This window comes from Homo sapiens, chromosome 6, assembly GCF_000001405.40.
Source record: "Homo sapiens chromosome 6, GRCh38.p14 Primary Assembly".
Classification (NCBI taxonomy): domain Eukaryota; kingdom Metazoa; phylum Chordata; class Mammalia; order Primates; family Hominidae; genus Homo; species Homo sapiens.
In genome coordinates, this window is record NC_000006.12 from 122,411,808 (window position 1) to 122,435,963 (window position 24,156).

At 34.8% G+C, this 24,156-nt stretch overlaps 1 protein-coding gene across 3 annotated transcripts in view; it reads left to right on the forward strand.

The window, feature by feature from the left end:
* Positions 1–21,312, forward strand: part of HSF2 (heat shock transcription factor 2) — a 33,569-nt gene extending 12,257 nt beyond the window's left edge. The window contains exons 2-13 of one of the 3 annotated variants that reach the window (NM_004506.4): positions 566–674; positions 830–957; positions 1,718–1,842; positions 4,414–4,489; positions 7,361–7,422; positions 8,328–8,415; positions 10,343–10,491; positions 10,911–11,150; positions 11,774–11,879; positions 16,096–16,149; positions 19,623–19,707; positions 20,118–21,312. In NM_004506.4, coding sequence (NP_004497.1) covers positions 566–674; positions 830–957; positions 1,718–1,842; positions 4,414–4,489; positions 7,361–7,422; positions 8,328–8,415; positions 10,343–10,491; positions 10,911–11,150; positions 11,774–11,879; positions 16,096–16,149; positions 19,623–19,707; positions 20,118–20,413 — 1,518 coding nt within the window. In that variant the 3' untranslated portion in view covers positions 20,414–21,312. Of the gene's footprint in view, positions 1–565; positions 675–829; positions 958–1,717; positions 1,843–4,413; positions 4,490–7,360; positions 7,423–8,327; positions 8,604–10,342; positions 10,492–10,910; positions 11,151–11,773; positions 11,880–16,095; positions 16,150–19,622; positions 19,708–20,117 lie in introns of those variants that run through there. The other 2 variants (NM_001135564.1, NM_001243094.2) reach the window with 2 other exon arrangements.

The window sequence follows — 24,156 nt, forward strand, 5'->3', positions numbered from 1 at the left end:
TTGATTACTTTATTTTTGTAGTGTTTCCAGGTGTTTGTTTTTTGTAGAGAAAAACACTAGTGACTTTTAATATTAATTTAGTAACCACGTATCTTACTGAATTCTTAAAGGGTTTTTAAATTGATTTTACAAAGATACAATTATGTCTACTATGTCTACTGCAAATAATTATAAAATGGTACTTCCTCTCAAAATCTTTTTTTTTTATTTTGGTCTTAATTGCACTAGTTTTAAAACAATGTTAATTATGCTGTCTACATAATTGTATTTCATTTTCTCATTGCTGGTTTAATGGAAGTTCTAATATTTCACCATAGAGTGTGATGTGGCATTTGGTTTGAGATATGTTCCTAAACTTTTGAGGTTGACATCAAAAAGCTTAGTTGCAATTTGTTGCTTAATTGCAATTTTGTTTCTTGTTCCTGTTGTCAAGAATAGAATGTTGGTCTGAAGACATCAAGGAGGGACTGGACTACTCAAGACAGTTGTGGGATGTATAAATATATCACCATGTGTCATAGGAACTTAACTAATTTACTTTTTCTTTTTTTTTTTCCCCTTGCAGAATGGCCAAAGTTTTCTGGTCTTGGATGAGCAACGATTTGCAAAAGAAATTCTTCCCAAATATTTCAAGCACAATAATATGGCAAGCTTTGTGAGGCAACTGAATATGTGTGAGTATGGACAGCAGTTTATTGGAGTACCATTATCAGCTACTGATGAAGCCATTTTTTTTCCCATTAGGGTGGTAAAGGAAAATTATTCCATACAAGCACCACCAAATTTTGACTTGTTTATTTTAGTCATTTGAATTTTGAATATTTTTCAGATGGTTTCCGTAAAGTAGTACATATCGACTCTGGAATTGTAAAGCAAGAAAGAGATGGTCCTGTAGAATTTCAGCATCCTTACTTCAAACAAGGACAGGATGACTTGTTGGAGAACATTAAAAGGAAGGTGAGCTATTGTGAACGTGAGCTAATTAGGGTATTGACCTGGAGTGTGCTTGGCCAAGATTTTTATTTCAGCTGTTGAAAGTACAGAAATGCACAACTGTTCCTTGTTGGGATGAATTAGGATAATAAAGTTTTACTTGTTTCCCTGTATTTTTTTCCTAAGTTAGCTTAAAAAAAAAAAAAAGTTTAAGTTCCTGCTAGAATATGAGCTCCCTGGAAGACTTTTTCTATAGTTTGTAATTGTACATCCAGTACCTACAATAAGTCTCTTCTAATAATATAAATATGCCCACATAGTAGGCATTCAGAAATACATTCAGTAATATATTTTTTAATGCATAATATCTTTTGGTAAAATAAGATATTTTACTAAATCTGTAAAAGGGGTGGACCATGAAAGAAAATGGCCTAGCATGAACCTTTTACTGCATAAATTTAATTAAATGTGGAATGTGGTAATAAAGAGGCTTGGGGGAAATTGCAAGGAGCTTGGCATAAGGGGAGAATAAAAGACTCTAAGATATTCCTGCTTGCGGAAACTTTTTAACATTAAAAAAAAATTTTTTTTAAGTAGATTATTCCTTGCGTTCTCTCCCATTGAGCTCTGAAGTTTATTCTTTCCCTAGCATTTCATCCCGGGCTTTTGGAACCAGATCTCACTTCCTGAACAGGCTACGAAAACCTCTTCTAATAGGGAAGCTTTGAATTACAATCATGGGTGTTTACTGTTTCTTTGATTTTCTAAATTTACTTTTTCAAAGGTTTCATCTTCAAAACCAGAAGAAAATAAAATTCGTCAGGAAGATTTAACAAAAATTATAAGTAGTGCTCAGAAGGTTCAGATAAAACAGGAAACTATTGAGTCCAGGCTTTCTGAATTAAAAAGGTAAAGTGTTATTTCCAAATATAATTTTAATCTGGGAATTGGGTATGTGTCTATGTGTGTTGAGTTTGGAGGTTGTCTGATGTTTTATTGTAAGTACTCAGATCACTTTGTTGAAGCCAAGATCAAAGGTCATTTTTCTGCAAGTATTGGTTCCCTTTACTTTGATTTGTGGCCACTGACTTTACTCTAATATTGTTTTAATTATGATAGTCAGAAGAAGATATAAACCTAAGCGTATCAAAACAGTTTGATGTATAAGTCTTAGCAATAAACAGTAGGTCTTTAAGATGATGTAGGAAATATGATTCTATTTAGGTTAGCTCATATGGTGCTCATAGACAATGAGGGCATACGACATAAAAACCCTGTATGTTACCCATCCTTTGTTTAATGGCTGTCTCTTAAGATTTCTTTGTGTGGACTCTTAGGAAAAAGTAGGACACAAAAAAATCGGAAAACGATGCAGGAGAGTTGCCATGCTTGATACTTATTTCGTATAGACTTGGAAAAGTGTTATTCAGAGCTTTTATCTACAGAAAGATGCTTCGTTTTATTTTACTACATTTCTTGGTTACCATTATTGTAACTTGCCATACTAATAACTTGTGTATAGAGTAGATAGTGTATTACTCTTCTTAGTAAGTAGCTGGAATTTTTCTGTATCCTAATAGGTGCCAAGGGCTTAAGAGTGGTTACTTTACATATTCTCTCTTCCATATCAGATGTGAGACGTTACTTTAGTTAATCATAACTCAAATATCTTCATTAAAAGAGGAACCTATAACTTTGATTTCTTTTTTAAATAAGCTTTAGGCTTTCTCTTCTTGTGTATTTAACAACTTGTTTACTGTATGTATCTTGTGTATACTAGCTGCTCTTTGACCCAGTTCCTTGGGACCACAGTTTCAGCCTTTAAAGAAAGTGATCCCCAAATCATTTTTTGTACCTTAGAGGGAACTTTCTTCTCCTTATCTTTTTGTTTGTTTGTTTTTGTTTTGAGACAGTCTCACTCTGTTACCCAGTCTGGAGTGCAGTGACTTGATCTTACCTCACTGCAATCTCCGCCTGCCGGTTCAAGCGATTCTTGTGCCTCAGCCTCCCTAGTAGCTGGGATTACAGGCATGTGCCAGCTAATTTTTGTATTTTTAGTAGAGATGGGGTTTCACTGTGTTGGCCAGGCTGTTCTCAAACTCCTGACCTCAAGTGATCCGCCCACATCGGCCTTTCAAAGTGCTGGAATTACAGGCACGAGCCACCGCACCCAGCCCTACTTATCTTTATTTAGTAAGCAGATAACAACATTTTTTAATTTGAATCAGAAAAATACAGTAGTTATTCAGTAAATATTAAAATCTCCTTTGGTATACCCTTATATGTAAATCTCCAGTTCCTTTTATATTAGTTTGGATTAAAGAAGATGACTTGTGGAGAATAACAAAAGATGGAAAATTAAAGCATTTAATAGGTATTCAGCATTCTCCGTGCTGCGAACATTTAACAACATAATGCAGTTTCAATTAAAAAAGGTGAACGAAGAAGAAGCTATTCATATTTGGCAAGTTATTAGTTTATTATTGGATATGCTTTTTCAGAATAACATTTTAGTGGTTTACATATGCTGTTGTTTGAGATAGATCTTAAGATAGTTTTAGAATCTGACAGACTTTAGTTTGATTTCAACACTTACCAAATTATTTGTATGATCTTGAGCAGTTCCCCTCAATTCTCTGTACCTCAGTGTCCTCATCTATAAAATAGAGATGATGACTTATTTCTTGGTGGTTTTTAGAGAAATTTTAAATAAGTAATACACATAAAATGTCTAGCATAGTGCTTAGAGTATAGTAAGTGCTGGGTATATATCACTACCCTTTATTTCCTAAGGTGATTAGGAAGGCCTGAATTCACTTGGTAACCACAGTTGAAAGATTAGCTTATTTTTTTTTAAGCAAAAAATAATGAGCCAGATTGTCAAAAGTAGTAAATTGCCAACTACTATATTGATGTAGGCATATGTCTTAAGTTTCTGTGTATCTATTGTCATGAGTAGCAGATACTACACTTAGGAAGGAATGATTCTGGTGCTGGGTGCGGTGGCTCATGCCTGTAATCGCAGCACTTTGGGAGGCCGAGGTGGGTGGATCACCTGAGGTCAGGAGTTTGAGATCAGCCTGGCCAACATGGCAAAACCCCGTTTCTACTAAAAATACAAAAAAAATTAGCTGGTTGTGGTGGCACATGCCTGTAATCCCAGCTACTTAGGAAGCTGAGGCACGAGAATTGCTTGAACCCTGGAGGTGAAGGTTGCAATGAGCCGAGATCGTACCACTGCACTTCAGCCTGGGCGACAGAGCAAAGCTACACCTTTTTTTTAAAAAAAGAATGATTCAGGAGTTGTGTCAAGGTAGTTGTCATTCCTATGTAATTGAACCAAAGTTTTCTTGGTCTCATAAATACATATAGTAAAAACAAGTGTAGTTCAGTTGTCTGGTATTCTTAATTAAAGATACTATGGTCTGGTTTTTTGATTGATTTTTTTTTTGTTTTGTTGCTTAATAAATTATAACATAGTGAGAATGAGTCCCTTTGGAAGGAGGTGTCAGAATTACGAGCAAAGCATGCACAACAGCAACAAGTTATTCGAAAGGTAAGAAGCTCTTTTCCCCAGGACCATAATTTGCATTTGTTTAATGAGTACTGTTTGTGACCCAAAAAGGTCTTTATTGAGTGTCTGTGATTGATCTTAGTTTCTTACATATTGGATGCACAGATAGAAGTAAAAAATGAAATGAAATTAAGCCAAGTGTTACACATTTTTAATAAAAAATTTCTCACTAGCTAAAGATGGTTATTCCATACTCGCAGATAATGTCTCAGTAGCTTTTAGTAAATGATCTTTTGCCTAATATAACAATTTTGAAATACTTTATTTTTATGAGCATAATGAATACACTACCAATTTCTTTTAAAATTAGAAAACATAGCCTTACTGGTTTTTTTTGTTGGTTTTTATTATAAAAGGCATAGTTAAGGTCTCAGAAGATAAATGACAAATATTTTCAAATCAGTTGACCAAATTATGAGTTCAGAAAATGATTTCTCAATGTATGCTGTTATTAGTCTGTGGAGAAAAGCAGTTAACATAGTGTTGTAAAATGAATTTTAGATTTTAGTATCTGAGCTGAAAATTTAATAGAGGAGTTGGAATCCCTCCGTTTCATTGTGTCCTTGTGATTTAATCTTTGCATATCAGCTTTCATTTGCTAATAAGAGATGAAACATAGTAATTAAGGCAGCTATTTTTTGCTCATGAGTAAACTAGACTCTGAGTTTAAGCAACAGGTTTTTTGAGGGGGAGCTTCTGATTGCTCCTGCTTAGAAGGCCCTTGAACTAAAAATAGGGTTGTGACTGACAGGATCAGGGTCTAATGGAGAAGGCTTTAAAGCAGAGATGAGTAGCAGTTGCAGCCTGTAGCCTAGTCAACATAGATTTACTGTGTTTTTTTTTTTTTTTAAAGTGTGCAAGTGAAGGTTGAATGTAGTAGAATTCAGTTCTAAGTGTTTAGTCCAAGTACATGTATTTTTAAAACTTTCATAGGCAACTCTAATGTGCAGCCTGGTTAAGAATAGTTGACTTAAAACAATAGATGTACCTTAACCTGTACTTTATGGAAACAGTCTGTTAATACTTTTCAGAAACAGTGTTTTGGTAATATATTAGCTTACAACACTCTATAATGTGTAGATTTTTTTTTTCCTGAAAGCAAGAATAGTTGATAAAATAGCTATGTGACATTTCAGTTTTTCATGAATGCTAACATTCTGTCTGCTAAAATTTGAGTTTGAATCTCTGTGCTTTGGTGAGTGGTGTTTATATAATGCATGACGACAACCAATAATTTTTACTCTGCTCCTGGAATTTACTCTCAGCCATGGATTAATTGAGAATAATATGTGTGATGGTCCAGTTATAGGACTTAACAGGTACAGAAGTTACATGCTGTAAGTGTTAGACGCCTTATCTTCTTCAGATAAAAATCCCTGTGTAATGTGATCCAGAAGTGTCAACAGAGAACTGAGATGTAGAATAAATTTAATTTAGCCAGTGATTGATGTTCTTATAAATTCAACCTGAAGTTTTTAGAATATTCCCATAACATTTATTAATTAAAAAAACTGAAGTCGAATTGTATCATAGATATCTTTAAGCTTACATATTGTCTTTTCACTAGCTGTTAACATTTTCTCTTGAATAAGCAATTTAGTGTCTACCCTCCTTTTCATAGACTCTAATACTATGAACCTCTTCAGTTAAAATGTCTATATTTTTTTCCATTGAAAAATTGATATTGATTATAAGGCAGACCATTTAGTAGCCTTTTTTGTAAGGAAATGCTCACTGTTAGAACCTGTACAATAGATATTTTTAATTGATAATACTCTATTTAATCATGTAACTTCACAAAGCTTATAAGCACACTTTCTGCACAGAGTCTAAATAGTGCTCCAATCAATTTTGGCTTTTATTCATAGCTTCTCAGTGATATACTACTTTTTATAGTTTACCATATGATCCTCACCTTTTATAGCACCTTTAGGAAGTTGGCAATGTAATTTCAAGACATACTCTAAGCCAGTAGTTCTTATACTCACATCAGTATCCAGTCTACACTAAAGGGTTTTCTAAACATACTGGATCCCATGATCCGAATTTCAGATTCAGCAGTTCTGTAGTAGGATTGAGAATTTAACATATCCAAAGTTCCTAAGCTAGTGTTCCTGGTATTATGGGCCACACTTTAAGAAACACTACTATAAGATATGAAAGCTTGTTTGTGTGTCTTCACAATTTTCTCTCTAAATTTAATTAAATATTAAAGATTAGCTTCCCTTGTCAGTAGGAAGTTTTGACAGATAGGTCTCAACATTAATCTTTATAGAATCAGACAATAAACTTTTATCTTTTTCTTTTTTTTCTTTGGTTGCAAGCAGAGTTTGTTTGTTTAGAAATGGAGCATCACGATGTTGCCCAGGCTGGTCTCCGACTCCTGGGCTGAAGCAATCCTCCTACCTAGGCTTCCCAAAGTGTTGGGATTACAGGCATGAGCCACCACGCCTGGCCCATCACCTTTTTCTAACTCGAAAATTTCATGATTATTCTGAAGGAACTGACGGTTTATTTTGCCTCTGTTACCTGGTATAAGAAAAATGTTGCCTATCAAACACCAGTTTTCTCTTTTGCACCGTAGTGTAATCTTCAAAGTACTTGAAGTAAAAAAGTTGGGATCTATAGCCAGGCAAGTTTGGTACTTATCACCAAAACAAATAAACTGCCTGGAAGCTGGTATGTTTCTTTAGACGGTGGTTCTACGGTGCGTCTGGATTTCAAGTGTTAATATGTGAGAAATTATGAGACTTAGAGGACAAATTATTATATGAATTTGTTTTATAAGACTTGGTAATAGAGACAAAAGAATTAACAGTATAATGAAATAATTTTTGTTTATATTTTTTTCAGATTGTCCAGTTTATTGTTACATTGGTTCAAAATAACCAACTTGTGAGTTTAAAACGTAAAAGGTAAGTTTTTATGATAAAGTATTATGTCCTGTATATAGGCAGTCACACTTTTTAGTGTTTAACCATGAGTAGCCTACACTTGCTGAGTATGTGCTTGTTGTCCAAAAAGAACAATTCTCCTTTGTTAAATTATACTCTTAAAATCTCTAGAGTAGTATTATTTTTTAGTTTTATCATTCTGCTGATGTTTGTGAGAGATAAGGGTAGCCTAAATGGTCACTTTATAGACATACATACAGTTAATACAAAATATTCACTTTTCATTCACATTATTAAAGTAGCATTAGAAGGCCTGAGTGAAGGAAATTTTTAAAAAGAGGCCATATGTTAAAAAAAAAATGAAAATTTGTTTTACTTGACCTCTCTTAGTTTAAGCCACTCATAGTCTTTTTAAATCTGTATCTCAGCCATGGGTTGTGATACCTGTAAATGTCAGTAGCTACTATTGTCACAGCTAAAACATTAGAAGAATAATGGACAAAAGGAATAGTTGGAAGGAAAAAATGATCTGTAACACTAAGATTTGGGAAAAACTTGATTATGATCAGAGCTTTATGGCCTTAACTACTTCCACTAATTAGTTCTTATGATATTATCTATTTTTTTCTATATAAATACAGTTCATAGAGTTGTGTGGTTCGGTAAGCAATGAAGTATAACTGGAGAGAATAGCTTATTATAACAAAAAGAGTGTAGAAAAGTGGAGAACTGAAAGTCCTAGATATTCTCATCCAGCAGTTTCTGTTCCTAAGATGTAATCATTTTTAAGTTTATTTATTGTTACTGAAATTTTTTATTCATTATTAAGTGAGTGTGCATGTGTGTGTGTTTGGGTAAGTTAATAGAGGGAGTTTAAATTCATTGTATGTTTGCTTCACTGAACTGCATATTCTTCTGGTTTTCAGGCCTCTACTTCTAAACACTAATGGAGCCCAAAAGAAGAACCTGTTTCAGCACATAGTCAAAGAACCAACTGATAATCATCATCATAAAGTAATTTTTTAGTTAGGGTCTATTTTATATTTATTGTCTCAGACTAAATTTTATTATGGCAGTGTTTCATGCATTCAAAGAAGTGTGGTGAATAACAATTCAAGTGTTCATCCCACAGCTTTGTTAAATTGTGACATTTTTTATTATTTGCTTTAGATTATTGTAAGAAATAAATCATCACAAATCTAGTTGTTCCAGTTGCCTGTTTCTAAGTTTTTCTCTCTCCCCGTCTCTTGTCTCCCCTCTTTACTCTTCCTCGCTTACCCTAGAGGTAATCACTATCTTGAATTAGTATCTATCATTCTCATGGCCATTTTGTATATGTGAATCCAGGAGCAGTACTTGGTATTATTTTGCATATATCTAAACTTCATATAAATAATATCATTTTGTGCATATCATTTTATAGTGTGGCTTTTTTTTAACTTGATGTTGCTTTTGAGATTTATTAAACATAGCGATTTAGTTTATTCATTTCTTTTTTTTTTTTTTTTTTTTTTTTTTTTTGAGATGGGATTTCACTCTGTCACCCAGCCTGGAGTGCAGTGGTATGATCTTGGCTCACTGCAGCCTCCACCTCCTGGGCCCAGGCAATTCTCCTGCCTCAGTCTCCTGAGTAGCTGGGACTATAGGTGTGTGCCACCACACTTGGATAATTTTTGTATATTTTGTAGTGATGGATTTTCATCATGTCACCTTTGCTGGTCTCGAACTCCCAGACTCAAGCCATCTGCCTGCCTCAGCCTCCCAAAGTTTTGGGATTACAGGCATGAGCCACTGCACCTGGCTTACTCATTTCAATATTATATAATAATTGAATATTTTGAAAATGTAATTATTATAATTTAATGTGATTATATATTCTTACATTGGTTATTCTATTTTCAACTTTTTTTTATTAATGTTCACCAACTAGAATGCTTTTTACTCCAGCAATTTAAATTTTTACCTTCATTTTGTCACAGGCTTTCTGGATAATTTGTCAGATTTCTATCCAGTGGCAAATTAGTCCAGTCCAAAGTCCAGATCTTTTTTATTATCTTTTTGTTACTACTTTCAAACTTCAGAATTCAAAATAGTTCTTTAGATTTATTATTAAAGTAATAAGATTTTTGTTCTTGGACAATCAAACTTAACCTCACATCTGATTTCTTTTCCCTCTACTGTTAGAAAATAATCAAGCATACCTATTTTGTTTTTAGGATTGAAGGCTCATGTAAGTGGATGAAGATTTTTATATTTTTAACTGGGTTTATATATTTTAAAGTACTTCACATCCTTTGCCTCTTTATTATCTAGTATTGGAATTTATAGTTTTTTGCATTTTAATAATGACTTTAGTTTGCTTTACAGGATTGAACTTAGTTTGATTAATACAGCTGTAGCCTGAATATATCTGTAGCTTAAGTTTAAAAAAAAATCATTGCTAAAAAGCCAAGCTAACATGTAACTGAGAGAGGTGAAGTGCGTTTTTTTCTCTTAGTGAAGGTATTTAATGAATAAGAATAAAACACATTTCAAAACAGAGCATCTTGAGCTGAAACAATATCCCTATCAGCATGGTGGCTGTCTGGTCGTGCTTGAAGTTTCTAGTGAAGTCCTAAGACTTTTTTACTCTTTAGGCATAAAAAATACTTTAAAATTTGAAGATCTTTCCATAGAAACATTTTTAGGGGTGTCATCTTCAGGGTCCCTTACAGTAAAAGAAGTAGTAAAGTGTAGAATGCAGTTAATATACCTCATACCTCTGTGAATTGGTGCTGCTAGTACCAATTATTATGTAAGTTCCGTAAGAGCAGAGAACACACCTGTTTTGCATACCCCGAGATTCAGTAAATAGTAGTTGCCTAGTTATTTTGTAGATGATATCTTGTTTGGTAGTCAATGATTTTGATTTTTAGATATATTTTTCTCTCTGAATTTTTAGGTTCCACACAGTAGGACTGAAGGTTTAAAGCCAAGGGAGAGGATTTCAGATGACATCATTATTTATGATGTTACTGATGATAATGCAGATGAAGAAAATATCCCAGTTATTCCAGAAACTAATGAGGATGTTATATCTGATCCCTCCAAGTAAGGAGTTTGTGAGATAAAATGTATGAAAATATTGATTACTTTTCTTATTACAGAGTAAAATTCAAAACTACTTTGTTCTTTGAAAAATAATAATCTTTCTCACATTTGGATTATTAAACTTGATAATTAAGCTAAATTATTCAACCAGATAAAACCTCACCTCCTCTTCCTCTCAAAGGAGGTATACTGAAAACTAATTGATTTTTAATTTTTATTTTGGAGTTAAGCACTTCTCATTCAATCTTTATGGTCTTCTATACTATGAAGTACCAATATTGTGATTAAGCTGCTCGCTCAAGAAATTTAAGCCTTTCAGTATGTGGTATGGGGAGAGAGTTTCCATTTAGAATGAATGGATAGTATGAACTTATTAAATTTGAAAATGTAATAGGTTCCTTCTTTTATTGCTGATTTAGCTGTAGCCAGTACCCTGATATTGTCATCGTTGAAGATGACAATGAAGATGAGTATGCACCTGTCATTCAGAGTGGAGAGCAGAATGAACCAGCCAGAGAATCCCTAAGTTCAGGCAGTGATGGCAGCAGCCCTCTCATGTCTAGTGCTGTCCAGCTAAATGGCTCATCCAGTCTGACCTCAGAAGATCCAGTGACCATGATGGATTCCATTTTGAATGATAACATCAATCTTTTGGGAAAGTGAGTGCTTATCTAGATGTTGTCTAAAATTATTTGCTTTCTTTGTTCACTTCACATGTTCTGTTTCTCTTTGAGTAATCTTCCTTTCAGATGATGAACCCACATAGTCCACCTTTCTCTGTTTTGGTCAGTGTTGAGTTCTGTAATGAATGGGATTTAATCATCCCAAGAATAGTCTTGGTATTTTCCTGGTAGTTTCTCAGATTCCTTTGATGATATACTTCCTTTGAGTGTACATACAGTGTTTGTGATTATATATATTTGTGTATCCAAACTACAGAATAATGTAATTTCTAGTAAGGTACTTATAACAAAGAAAACTTAATAGTAATAATCAGTAATGAGATTAAACATTTTATATAGTATAGAGGAAAAAGGTAAATCAGACTGTTCTGCAGGGTGTGTTTTTCTGTAAATACTAAAGTTTTCTGTAAAGGCTATGAATTTTCAGTTAACCAGATTTTCAAGAATTCCTACTCTAGAATAAGATCTCTTAAGATTAAGAACCGGTAAGGATGCAGCAGCTGCTAGAAATATCTTGCCTAGCCAAGTTGTAATGGTGATTTTTAAACATAAAAACAAGGATATCTAATATTTGATTAAAAAAATTTTTTTTTCCTTAGGGTTGAGCTGTTGGATTATCTTGACAGTATTGACTGCAGTTTAGAGGACTTCCAGGCCATGCTATCAGGAAGACAATTTAGCATAGACCCAGATCTCCTGGTTGATGTAGGTACTTTGGGTAATCTTTGCTATACTGGTAGTTTGTGTGTTTATGTATATTATTTAAAAACCAGTACGTCATTTTGTTTTGTATTCTACAGGTTGTTTTTGCATTTCTTTTTTAAATTAATAATTTTGTTTATCAGAAAGAATGAAAAAATAGGTTTGGGACATTGAAGGAGTATGATTACCACCTGCCTTGGAGTAGCAATTGAACTAATTTCCCTGTGAGAACATATCAGATCTTTTCAGCAGTACTGTTAAGTTCATGTCTTGTCTGGACTTGTTGCTCTTTTCTGTTTTGCTCTAGAATGAATTGTCAGTAAATAGAAATTTGTGGAAATTAGTAATAGAGGTACTTAGCTAGGAAATAGCATGGAGACACCTTTTGATACTTTGGGGATTAACATTTTTTACTCAAATATGTTTTAATATATTTGCCTTATTTTTTACATTTTTATATTTTGAGTTACAAGGTTCCCCTGCTCCAGTCCCCACCACCATCCCTATGAAGTTGACTTCAATATTGACTGGACTGAGAATTCTTATCTACCGTTTCTGCCACTAACCACCTTTCTTACTCTATTCTCTCTTGTTCCTGCTATTCCTCCCTTCTTTATCTAAAGCTTCCTACGTGGTCTGGTCGCGCTTAGATGAATCTTGTTCTGTCTCCTATTTCCATTTTCTGTTGTGAACAGTTTTCTCTCTTTATCCTGGAAAATTTTGTTGTCTTTTTTTCTGTGTTTCTTTCCTTACATTGCAGCTTCTCTTACCCTTTTACAAGCCTCTCAGGCTAAACAAGAATTAGTTCTTTCTGCTCTTCAATCTTATTTCAAGTTCATTAATTTACTGCATTACTCCTCTGCTTCTCACCAGTCCTTGTCAGTGCCCCAAGGACTTGTTCTTACTAAATTGTTAGCACCTCACAGAGGGGATTTTACTTTCTTTGAAGATTTCTTTTCCATTTTGACCTGTGTTTCTATCTTATGAATACATGTTAATTTGAATTTTGTATCCATGTTGATAACCTACTTCAACTTAGCGGTAACCTGACAGTGTTTTTTGATCCTATCAGCCTTTCTCCCTTCTTTAGATCCAGAGACCTTTCAAAATATTTTTCCTTTAGATCACCAAGAACGAAATAAAATTCTATAATTCTGGCCATGTTCAAATCCTTACAGTCTTCAGCTAGGTCATTTTAATTCAACTTTAAAACATTTGCCACATTTATTTGCCCTAAAGACCTTATCCAGTCAACAACCCCTTATTCACAGAGGATAATTAACTATACTCTCATTCTCTCATAAGTAATGACTCTGTTTCCAATCTTGTATCCTTTCTTCTTAGAAGTAATTCCTTAAACCAATGTGTACCCCTATCCTTTGCCTCTGTATTTGTCTCCTCTATCCTTAATCTTTCCCGTCTGCCTTCAGTAGTTAGAGATCTGCTCCATCTTAAAAAACAACCATTTTGACATCTTGCTTTGTTCATTTACCATTCTGCTTCTCTAACTCCTTTACTACAAAACTTTAGAAACGAGTGGCTGTATTTACCTCTTTTTTACTCTATTTTGTCTGAAGCTTTGTATTGTGTTGCTTATTAACTCAAACTCTGCACTGCCTGTGTTGTCTTGGTTTTTTTCATTGTAAGTACGCTGTGTGTGATTTTTCTTTTCTTTTTGCTGTATTAGTCCATTGGGCTAGTGGAAAGTTTGTTTTGAATCAGACAAATTTGGGTTCTGTTATAGGCTCATGTTATTTACTAGCTATGTTACTAACCTTTGAAAAGTTATTCTCTCTCGCCTAGTTTCTCCATTTGTTAAATGTTGCTAATGTCTAACATGAAGGGCTGTTGGCAAGAATTAGAAATAATTAACACTATTATTAACATTATTGGGCATTCTGTACAATAGAACTTTTATTGTTGATTTTAGAGGTGCTGTACTTTTTTGTTCTCTCCCTGTCTCCCTAATCTTCTCTGTTTTATCTAAGAGCTTTTCTTTTTTCTACTATCTTCTACTTAAGGGCATCCCCTAATGCACCCAATCTTTCAGCCTCTTTTACTTTTTCTGTCTCTCTTCTTTTTCCATTCTTCCTCTGTGAAGAGATTTTGGCTTGTAAGATTGCTTTCAAATGTGTATATCCAGCTCTTAACATTTTTCTAAAGTAAACTGGACTTGAATTCTAATTCCGTTACTTTGGGATCATCAGTTAGCTCTTACCTCAGATTACTTGATTTAACAATAAACTTCTTTATTCTCTGTATTAGTTACATTTTACAGCTTTCTGATTTTCTGTAGTGGTATTACTTCTATTTACTTAGGAGGATAGTTATCACAGAATCACCTTGAATTCTCTTTCTCTCATCATTCACTAAATCCAGTTTTCTAAAATAGCATTCACAAGCCATCCCTATATTCTGTTTTCACTATTGCTTTTCTCATCCAAGACCCTCATTATTTTATCCTTGAATTACGCTGTATTGTCATAAATAAAAAGTCCACCTATGCTGCTTTGTTCTCTGAGATGACAAAAATGGTAAGAATGTGAATAAGTGTGCTGAAAAGTTTACAGCTTCTCTCTGAAGAGTTTAGTACCAGTACTGGTAACCCAGAGTGGGGTCACAGCAGGAGAGGCCTGGCCTTAGAATTCAACCAGCTGTGTCAGCTTATATATGATCTACTTTTTCTACCATTTGTCTCCTAGGAATACATGTAGGATATCCCTGAGTTAGTGGGTAGGGGTTGCTGGGCAAAGAGGAGAATAGAGGAGCTTACAGTGCTGGTCCTCCTCAGATGCCACTCTCTGTAGGGACAAAATTTGGGTTAGGCTTCTTAGGCAGTGATAAGCTAAACTGGCAGAGATTGATTATTATGAGTCACTATCTACTCTCAAGGATCTGAGCTTTCTTCCTTTTCTGAGGTTAGTAGTTGGTAAGAAAGGAGAAGGAAATAAAAAGGCAAAGCCAGGGAATTTTATAGGACTACCATGAATATGGAACTTTAAAGAGAGGAATCAGTGTCTAGAGAGAATGGAGGAAGAATCTGCCTGTGGCTTTTTTGCACCTCATTCTATCCTGTGAACCATTTGGTGTGTTCATTCTCATAAAAGGCTAACTCAGTGAGTGCATTTCATCATTCAGGCCATTCCCAAGGCTCTTATTGCTGACAGGATGTGGCCTCTACTTTTCGAACCTATGTATATAACTTATTCAACTTAGAACTTCTGTGTTATTTCTATTTCTGGAACATATCCTACCTTCTTTGTTGATGCCGCTAGTATTATACCCGTGTGTTCTTCCCCTAGTCTTCTCCTTTCCAAGTTCTAACCTAATATTCTCCAGGTACTGATATATATCACATAGTTTTATCAGCCCTTTTATTTCATTATGTATGTTTCTGTGTGCGCTTTCCTCCCTTCCCATTGTCTTAACTCCTTAGTGCTTTTGAGCGCCACCATCTTCTGTTAAAATACTGGATTATATCTGAACGTGTGTTGCTATTTGATGTTGGTCTTACCTTGTCCTTTAGATTGTAAGCTCCTAGAGAGCAGGAATGATGTCTTTATGATGTCAGTTATTTGTTAAAGATACTCAGTAAATTTCTATGGAATGAATGACTTTAAAGCTTATGACTTATAGTTACATCTGTGAACTGGCTGGACTGAGGAGTGCAGTAAGCAGTGATCTTAGCACTTAAAATTTTCCTTGCGAGGTGTGGTGAAAAGAACCAACAAGTAGATATGCCATCTGTCAGAGGGCTTCACTTGAGGCATAGTTTAGGAGCCACTGTCATAGAGCAGATTCTGTAAATTTTTTACCTAACCAGGTATTCAGTGAAGGCTCAGTGTCAGGGCAGAGGTCTCAACCCTGCACACCACTTAAGGCCAAAGACATTTAGAGAAAAAAAATAAAGGAAATGAAATTGAATGATAAATAATGAAGAAGGGAGGAGGTGAAAACCACTATTTGTCTCAAGTGATTTACCCCAATGTTTTTTAGAGAAATTCTTACCACATGAAATTTTATCTAATGCATGGGCTAGCTTGTTCTGCTTTTGTTTGTTTTTCTTTCTGCTTTTCTCTTTCAAACTTGTTTAACTGTATAGAAGCTTCCTAGTGCAGGGGCTACATCTCTTCACCCAACATGGCTGTATAAAATTTTGAACACACAATTATTTTTAATTATTTTTTAAACTTATCATCTTTCTTGTTTGGTCTTTCAGCTTTTCACTAGTTCTGTGCAGATGAATCCCACAGATTACATCAATAATACAAAAGTAAGTTTTAATTCATGTTGCTCAGGACCCATAGCTATAAAAATCTACAAAAACGTCCTAATAAGTAGAGAGCAATGTCACTCCCAGCCACAAAAAGCATTTTATATTCTTACCCAGTATGTGTGATCAAGATAATAAAATTCTAGTTGAAAAATTAGCTTTTGGTTATGTGGTGAACTATTACCCACTTTTGGCACTTGTGGGATTAACTACCAGTATGAAATTAACTTCTTTTGGTGCTGGGAGATCACCTGACTAAACTTGGTATATTGAAACCAATAACTAAAATATGATTTCTTCATGTTTTATGGGCAGCATTTTACATTCTTATTTTTCCTATTCTCAACTTTTTTATTAAAAAGTTATAGTACCCATATTTTTTGTGAGTTCTATCATTAGCATAAAGTAAAAATTCAGGAATTCTTATTTATTGCAGAAAAGGGAAGTTGAAACGTATGAATATTTGACTTTTTTTAAGTAATAAGGATTTTTTTTTTGACATATAGGAACTGCACTTGGGCTTAGCAAGTGTTGACAAGAGATTTTGCGGAACTTGTTTTTAATGAGTAGTAAGGACAATTTGAAGTTATTAGAGCAGGTGTTTTATATCATTGTATTTTATATAACTTAATTGTCATGAATAGGTATACACTCCCTTTATCTTTTATTTGTACCAAATTGTTTAGTAAGCCTTGTTAAAGGTAAATCAAGTCCAGATTCCAGATTAGTGAAGCCAGAATTTTATTTTGATTCTTTTTCTTTATAGTCCAAAAATGAGCACATCTCAAATAAATATAAGTGATTAGGGTGAGGGGTGGAATTTATACGATTATTGTCATGTGTAAGCCTGACCAGACTGTCTATATCTTCAAAGTTACATTGTGGATAACTTAGAGCTTAAAAAATTTGTGAATTTGTGAAATAGGAAGTTGATTATACATTCAGTATTCAGATAATTTATATTGGAGGTTGGCATACTTTCTCCATAAAGGGGCAGCTAGTAAATACTTTTGGTTTTTCAGGCCATATGTTCTCTGTCATAACTATGCAGTTCTGCAATTGTAATGTGAAAGCAGATACAGACAATATGTAAAAGAATGTGTGGTTGTGTTGCAAAAAAACTTCATTTACAGACAGGCAGCATGCTGAATTTGGCATATGGACCATAAGTTTACCTGGATTTATATTACAAGATTTTATATAACATGCTCTGTGTTTCAGTAAATATATTACTGAATGTTATTCTCATGGACCATTTAAGTTGAATGGACCCATATCATTTGTTCATGTAGTGAATGTGCTTTGTTGTTTATTTGCGACTGGACATTGAGTCCTTATTTGTGGATCATCATCTTATTCCTGAAACCAAGACCTTGATTATAGTTTTCAAAAACTATAAGCAGTTAAGCAACAAATTGCATTTTGCTCTACAATGCTGTAGAAAAATTACATTTGAGAGTGACTTTTCATTATAGTTCTGAATCTAGATTTTAATGTTTTCAAATAATTGGCACATCAGCTGTCCTTCCCTTGCTCATGACAGGTATTACATAACATGGATTACAACACTTTCCTAATAAATCAGATGCCTTATACTTCTCAGTACAGCAATCTTAATTGGCCACTATGAATGAATAAGAATTTGCATGGGAAATGAAATCTCATTCAGTATGATACTGGCTATGGGTTTGTCATAAATAGCTCTTACTGTTGTGAGATATGTTCCATCAATACCTAGTTTATTGGGTGTTTTTAGCATGAAAGAGTGTTGAATTTTATTAAAGGCTTTTCTGCATCTGTTGAGATAATCATGTGGTTTTTGTCATTGGTTCTGTTTATGTGATGGATTACGTTTATTGATATGTGTATGTTGAACCAGCCTTACATCCCAGGGATGAAGCCGACTTGATGGTGATGGATAAGCTTTATGATGTGCTGCTGGATTCAGTTTGCCAGTATTTTATTGAGGATTTTCGCATTGATGTTTATCAGGGATATTGGCCTGAAATTTTCTTTTTTTGTTGTGTCTCTGCCAGGTTTTGGTATCAGGATGACGCTGGCCTCATAAAATGAGTTAGGGAGGAGTCCCTCTTTTTCTGTTGTTTGGAATAGTTTCAGAAGGAATGGTACCGCTCCTCTTTGTACCTCTGGTAGAATTCAGCTGTGAATCCGTCTGGTCCTGGCTTTTTTTGGTTGGTAGGCTATTAATTACTGCCTCAATTTCAGAACTTGTTATTGGTCTATTCAGAGATTTGACTTCTTCCTGGATTAGTCTTGGGAGGGTGTATGTGTCCAGGAATTTATTCATTTCTTCTGGATTTTCTAGTTTATTCGTGTAGAGGTGTTTATAGTATTCTCTGATGGTAGTTTGTATTTCTGTGGGATCAGTGGTGATATCCTCTTTATCATTTTTTATTGTGTCTATTTGAAATCCATTTGTTATCAGGTTCTCATGTTTTAGAATAACGGTGACGTCTTTGGAAAATACCTATTTTAGGAAGCCTAAAAATAAAGATGGTATTATTTCATTAATGTTTATATATTTATTGTGAATGCTAAGTGATGAAATATTTTTATGTACACTTTTGGAAAGGTTTCGTAGTTTTTATTATATCTTGGAGCCCTTATTTTCTCTTAAATCCTAAAACTTACACAGCTTCATTTTATGTTAAATATCAGGGGAATTACTGGAATTAGTTTACAGTTGGTTACACCATATATATTTAGCCAGCATGTAGATCTGGGACTTGCAGATGTCTGGGACTTACAGGAAAAATTAAGAACCTCTGCACCTCAGAGTTTGAACATGAAAGGAGCACTGAAGAAATTAACAATGGTAAAGATATAATTTCCCTACCACAGTCAGATGTGAGGAGAGAAGAAAGTGGTTCAAAGAAGCAATTTAAATGACAGAAAAGAACTGACAGAGCTACAGAAAGGACAAGAAGAAACACCACCTCAACTTTGAGGCTTCTAAATAGTGATAAAGAGTTTTAAGGATGTCATTATGTCATCCTGAGCTACTCTAAATATGTTCACTTATGCTAAATATTCTGTTTATGAGTGAAATGTATAATACATTTTTTAAATCAAAACTACTTAAAATGAATTTAATTGCTTAGTTAATTATCTCTCAATTAACATTTTGAAACCAGTCATCTTTGATTCATTCTGATCTTTTACTCGTGACAAATTCTATCTGTTCTGCTGCTGAAATCCCCCTTCATTTCATACTTAATATAGAACATCTTAATTCAGGTTCTTTGTTTTATCCCCTCAGTGACAGCAATAGTTCCTTAACCAGTCTTGTTATCTCTACTCAGATCTCTCTCTGTAGCCCATTTTCCCTGATGTTTCCCCATCTCATATATTTCAGATAATATACCAGTATTTACATATTGTATCAATTTTTCATTTTTTTCAGAAACATAAAATATGAAACAAGTACTTATATATATATTTTTTTCTTTTAGTCTGAGAATAAAGGATTAGAAACTACCAAGAACAATGTAGTTCAGCCAGTTTCGGAAGAGGGAAGAAAATCTAAATCCAAACCAGGTAGGTATAAATATAGTATTCAGTCTCTGTAGGTTTTTTTAATCCTATGCAGAAACAAGTGCAAGCCGAGGGTAGTCTTAATTGAATATGCTGGCTTTAGTTCTGTGAATAGTGTGTCGAGGTTCTAGTATATAGAGAAAGTTGAATTGGTGAGGTAACAATTCTTTAAGTTTTTTTTTTTTATCCTATTTAACTTTAGGAAACTAAAGACCCCTCATTTCTTAATTGTTGAATAAGAGCTATTGACTTGCACATTTTAAAATTTATTGACATAGTGCATCATGTCATTTCTTGTTTGGCTATATGAGAGTAGTAATTGCCTATGTGTACATCTCTGTTTTCATTTTTTTCCCCTCAGCTTGAACTCAGTATAAGCTGGTGATAAAAGAGTGTTTTTCTGATCTTTATAGATAAGCAGCTTATCCAGTATACCGCCTTTCCACTTCTTGCATTCCTCGATGGGAACCCTGCTTCTTCTGTTGAACAGGCGAGTACAACAGCATCATCAGAAGTTTTGTCCTCTGTAGATAAACCCATAGAAGTTGATGAGCTTCTGGATAGCAGCCTAGACCCAGAACCAACCCAAAGTAAGCTTGTTCGCCTGGAGCCATTGACTGAAGCTGAAGCTAGTGAAGCTACACTGTTTTATTTATGTGAACTTGCTCCTGCACCTCTGGATAGTGATATGCCACTTTTAGATAGCTAAATCCCCAGGAAGTGGACTTTACATGTATATATTCATCAAAATGATGAACTATTTATTTTAAAGTATCATTTGGTACTTTTTTTGTAAATTGCTTTGTTTTGTTTAATCAGATACTGTGGAATAAAAGCACCTTTTGCTTTTCTCACTAACCACACACTCTTGCAGAGCTTTCAGGTGTTACTCAGCTGCATAGTTACGCAGATGTAATGCACATTATTGGCGTATCTTTAAGTTGGATTCAAATGGCCATTTTTCTCCAATTTTGGTAAATTGGATATCTTTTTTTTACAAATACGACCATTAACCTCAGTTAAATTTTTGTTTGTTTTCCTGTTTGATGCTGTCTATTTGCATTGAGTGTAAGTCATTTGAACTAATGGTATAACTCCTAAAGCTTTCTCTGCTCCAGTTATTTTTATTAAATATTTTTCACTTGGCTTATTTTTAAAACTGGGAACATAAAGTGCCTGTATCTTGTAAAACTTCATTTGTTTCTTTTGGTTCAGAGAAGTTCATTTATGTTCAAAGACGTTTATTCATGTTCAACAGGAAAGACAAAGTGTACGTGAATGCTCGCTGTCTGATAGGGTTCCAGCTCCATATATATAGAAAGATCGGGGGTGGGATGGGATGGAGTGAGCCCCATCCAGTTAGTTGGACTAGTTTTAAATAAAGGTTTTCCGGTTTGTGTTTTTTTGAACCATACTGTTTAGTAAAATAAATACAATGAATGTTGAGTACTAGTGTCTGTTATGTGTCTTCTTTAGAGGTGACACTCACATGAAACAATTTTTTCTTCTCATAGGAAGCAGTAGCTTTAAACTGTCTGTGGTTCATTATTCTCAATATGAATCATACCAAGATATTTGTGCCTCATCTCGAAAATATATTGTATATTGCAACAAGGGAGAAATATAATCTCTAAATTTAATGTATTTTAAAGTTCTTTGTTTAAAAATTATACTGGGTTGCTTTCTATGTTTCTAATAAAAAAGTGAGAGAATTATGCCTCTCATTGTCCCAAATAGTGTAAGAATATTATCACTGGATGTCTGGAGAGAAGATAAGAGAAATAGTCAAATCACCTCTTTCCTTTGAAACAGTTGCCCAAGAGAATTATGGAGACTTAATGCAAGGCCAGGGCACTTTATCATGTGAAGAATTTCACCTTTGGGCAAAGGGCTGAAAGCAGTACAATTAATATTGTATAGGGCTATTTAATGAGTTTCAAGGCAGGTTTTCCTATTGGCCATATTCTGTCAGTGTCTTAGAATTTCTTTTATTATGATGTAAAGATTCAAAGTAAGGGCTAGCACAGAAGAATAGGAAAATTCCCTTAGGAGAGTTTTAGTTAGATCCTAAAATACTTGGCTCTGATGGTGGGATCTTGGTGAATTAATTCAAGACCCTACAACAGTGCTCTGCGTGAGCTGAAGAGGTTATGTTTCTAAGGGTGATAAGAGTTTAGAAACTGAGAGGAGAAAACCTTAAAAGACTTTTCTTCATTCCTTTCTCATTGTGAAATACAGTCAAGTTTCTTCTTCTTGGGGGCATTTTGGAACTCTAGAAGCACTTAAAAAATAATTTTGAAAAACTTGATTATGACCCTGGTACTTTTAAAGTTGACATTTAAGATTTTTCATCTTAAGTTTAAATAGTTGGAAGGAATTTAGGATATAGTTAATATTGCTGTTTTAAAACATAATTGTTATATGTTTCTTTAACATTTACCTAAAGGAATTTGAATGCCATAGTGATTTGATCTCTATCATCCACTCTACTTCCTCCAAACAATTTTTTTTTTGAGACAGACTTTCACTCTGTCGCCCAGGGTAGAGAGCAGTGGCGTGATCTCGGCTCACTGCAACCTCCGCCTCCCAGATTCAAGCGATTCTCTTGCCTCAGCCTCTTGAGTAGCTGGGACTACAGTCATGTGCCAACACACCTGGCTAATTTTTTATTTTTAGTAGAGATGGGGTTTCACCATGTTGGCCAGGCCGGTCTTGAACTCCTGACCTCAGGTGATCTGCCTGCCTCGGCCTCCCAAAGTGCCGGGATTACACGCATGAGCCACCGTGCCCGGCTTCCTCCAAAGAATTTTATCCTGCTTTTTTATGTTTGAAAGTTAGACAATGATGATCTTTCGTGACACCTCTTTACATCTAAATTTGAGATTGTTTCCCATAACTGTAAGATTCTAGGCATTAAAAAACTTTCCCTCCAATTTTATACTGTATAACTACACAGTGGATTAAAACCATATAAATATATATGGTAGAGACTTAACTGATTGCCAGACCGTTTCCTTTTCCTATCATGTGGCTAGATTATTTCCACCACTGCAGATGGGGTAGCCATGTAACTGAGTTTTAATCAGTAAAACAGGAGAAGTGATGTGTAGCACTTCCAGTTCTGGTGGTGTAACTTCCCCCATGCATTCCTCCCATGCCATTTACCCCTCCACTGGCTTGATGCAGAGTTGTATGTAGCTTTCAAATATACAATCAAGAAGGAAAAAAATGGCTTCTTGAATTACTGCTTAGAGGAAGGCCACCTATCAGTCCTGGATAACCATTTTACACTTCAGGTGAGGGGAAACAAACCTTTTTTCTACCTGAGTTTTTGGGGGTTGATCTGTTATAGCTTGTAATGTTTACTACAATTAGAGTCTAATTTTGATGATCTGTTAAACAAAAAGTTTTACCAAAAATATATCTTATAGTGGAATAAACAGCTCTTCCTGAGTTTTCATAATAAAAGTTAGTACCAATTTTATTCCTATTTTTGTTTTCACTGATGTTAAAATCCTGAGAATCTTTGTTTATAGTACAAAATGACAAGTAGATGAAAAAGCAGTTTTGTATAGTACTGTTAATTTTTTAATACCTTTAGAATTATGTACCAGAATTCTATCAATTGATGACTCAGTTGGATCATCTTTCAATTTTGTTGAAAGCAAAATATTAGAAACCAGCTAAATCACAAAAAAAAGTTTTTTTTAACTCAGTGTCATCTCTTTCTCACCAATATTTTTAAATGTCCCTTTACCAATTGTCTGGAGATTTTTTTCCAAAGTGCATTGGTAAGATTCAGAATGGATAAGAGATATATCTTTGTTTTGTCAAGTATGAAAAGAATAATTTTTGTTCTGTTTTGTTTGAGATAGAGTTTTGCTCTGTTGCCCAGACAGGGATTACAATGGCGCAATCTCAGCTCACTGCAACTTCTGCCTCCCGGGTTCAAGCGATTCTCCTGCCTCAGCCTCTGGAGTAGCTGGGATTACATGCGTGCACCACTACGCCTGGCTAATTTTTTGTATTTTTAGTAGAGACGGGGTTTCACCATGTTGGCCAGGCTGGTCTCAAACTCCTGACCTCAGGTGATCTGCCCTCCTCGGCCTCCCAAAGTGCGGGGATTACAAGCATGAGCCACCGCACCTGGCCAGAATAATTGTTAAAAAGGATGATGCCGGCCGGGTGCAGTGGCTGACGCCTGTAATCCCAGCACTTTGGGAGACCGAGGTGGGTGGATCACGAGGTCAGGAGATCAAGACCATCCTGGCTAACACGGTGAAACCCCGTCTCTACTAAAAAATACAAAAAATAGCCGGGCATGGTGGCGAGCGCCTGTAGTCCCAGCTACTCCAGAGGCTGAGGCAGGAGAATGGCGTGAACCCGGGAGACGGAGCTTGCTTGCAGTGAGCTGAGATCGCGCCACTGCACTCCAGCCTGGGTGACAGAGCC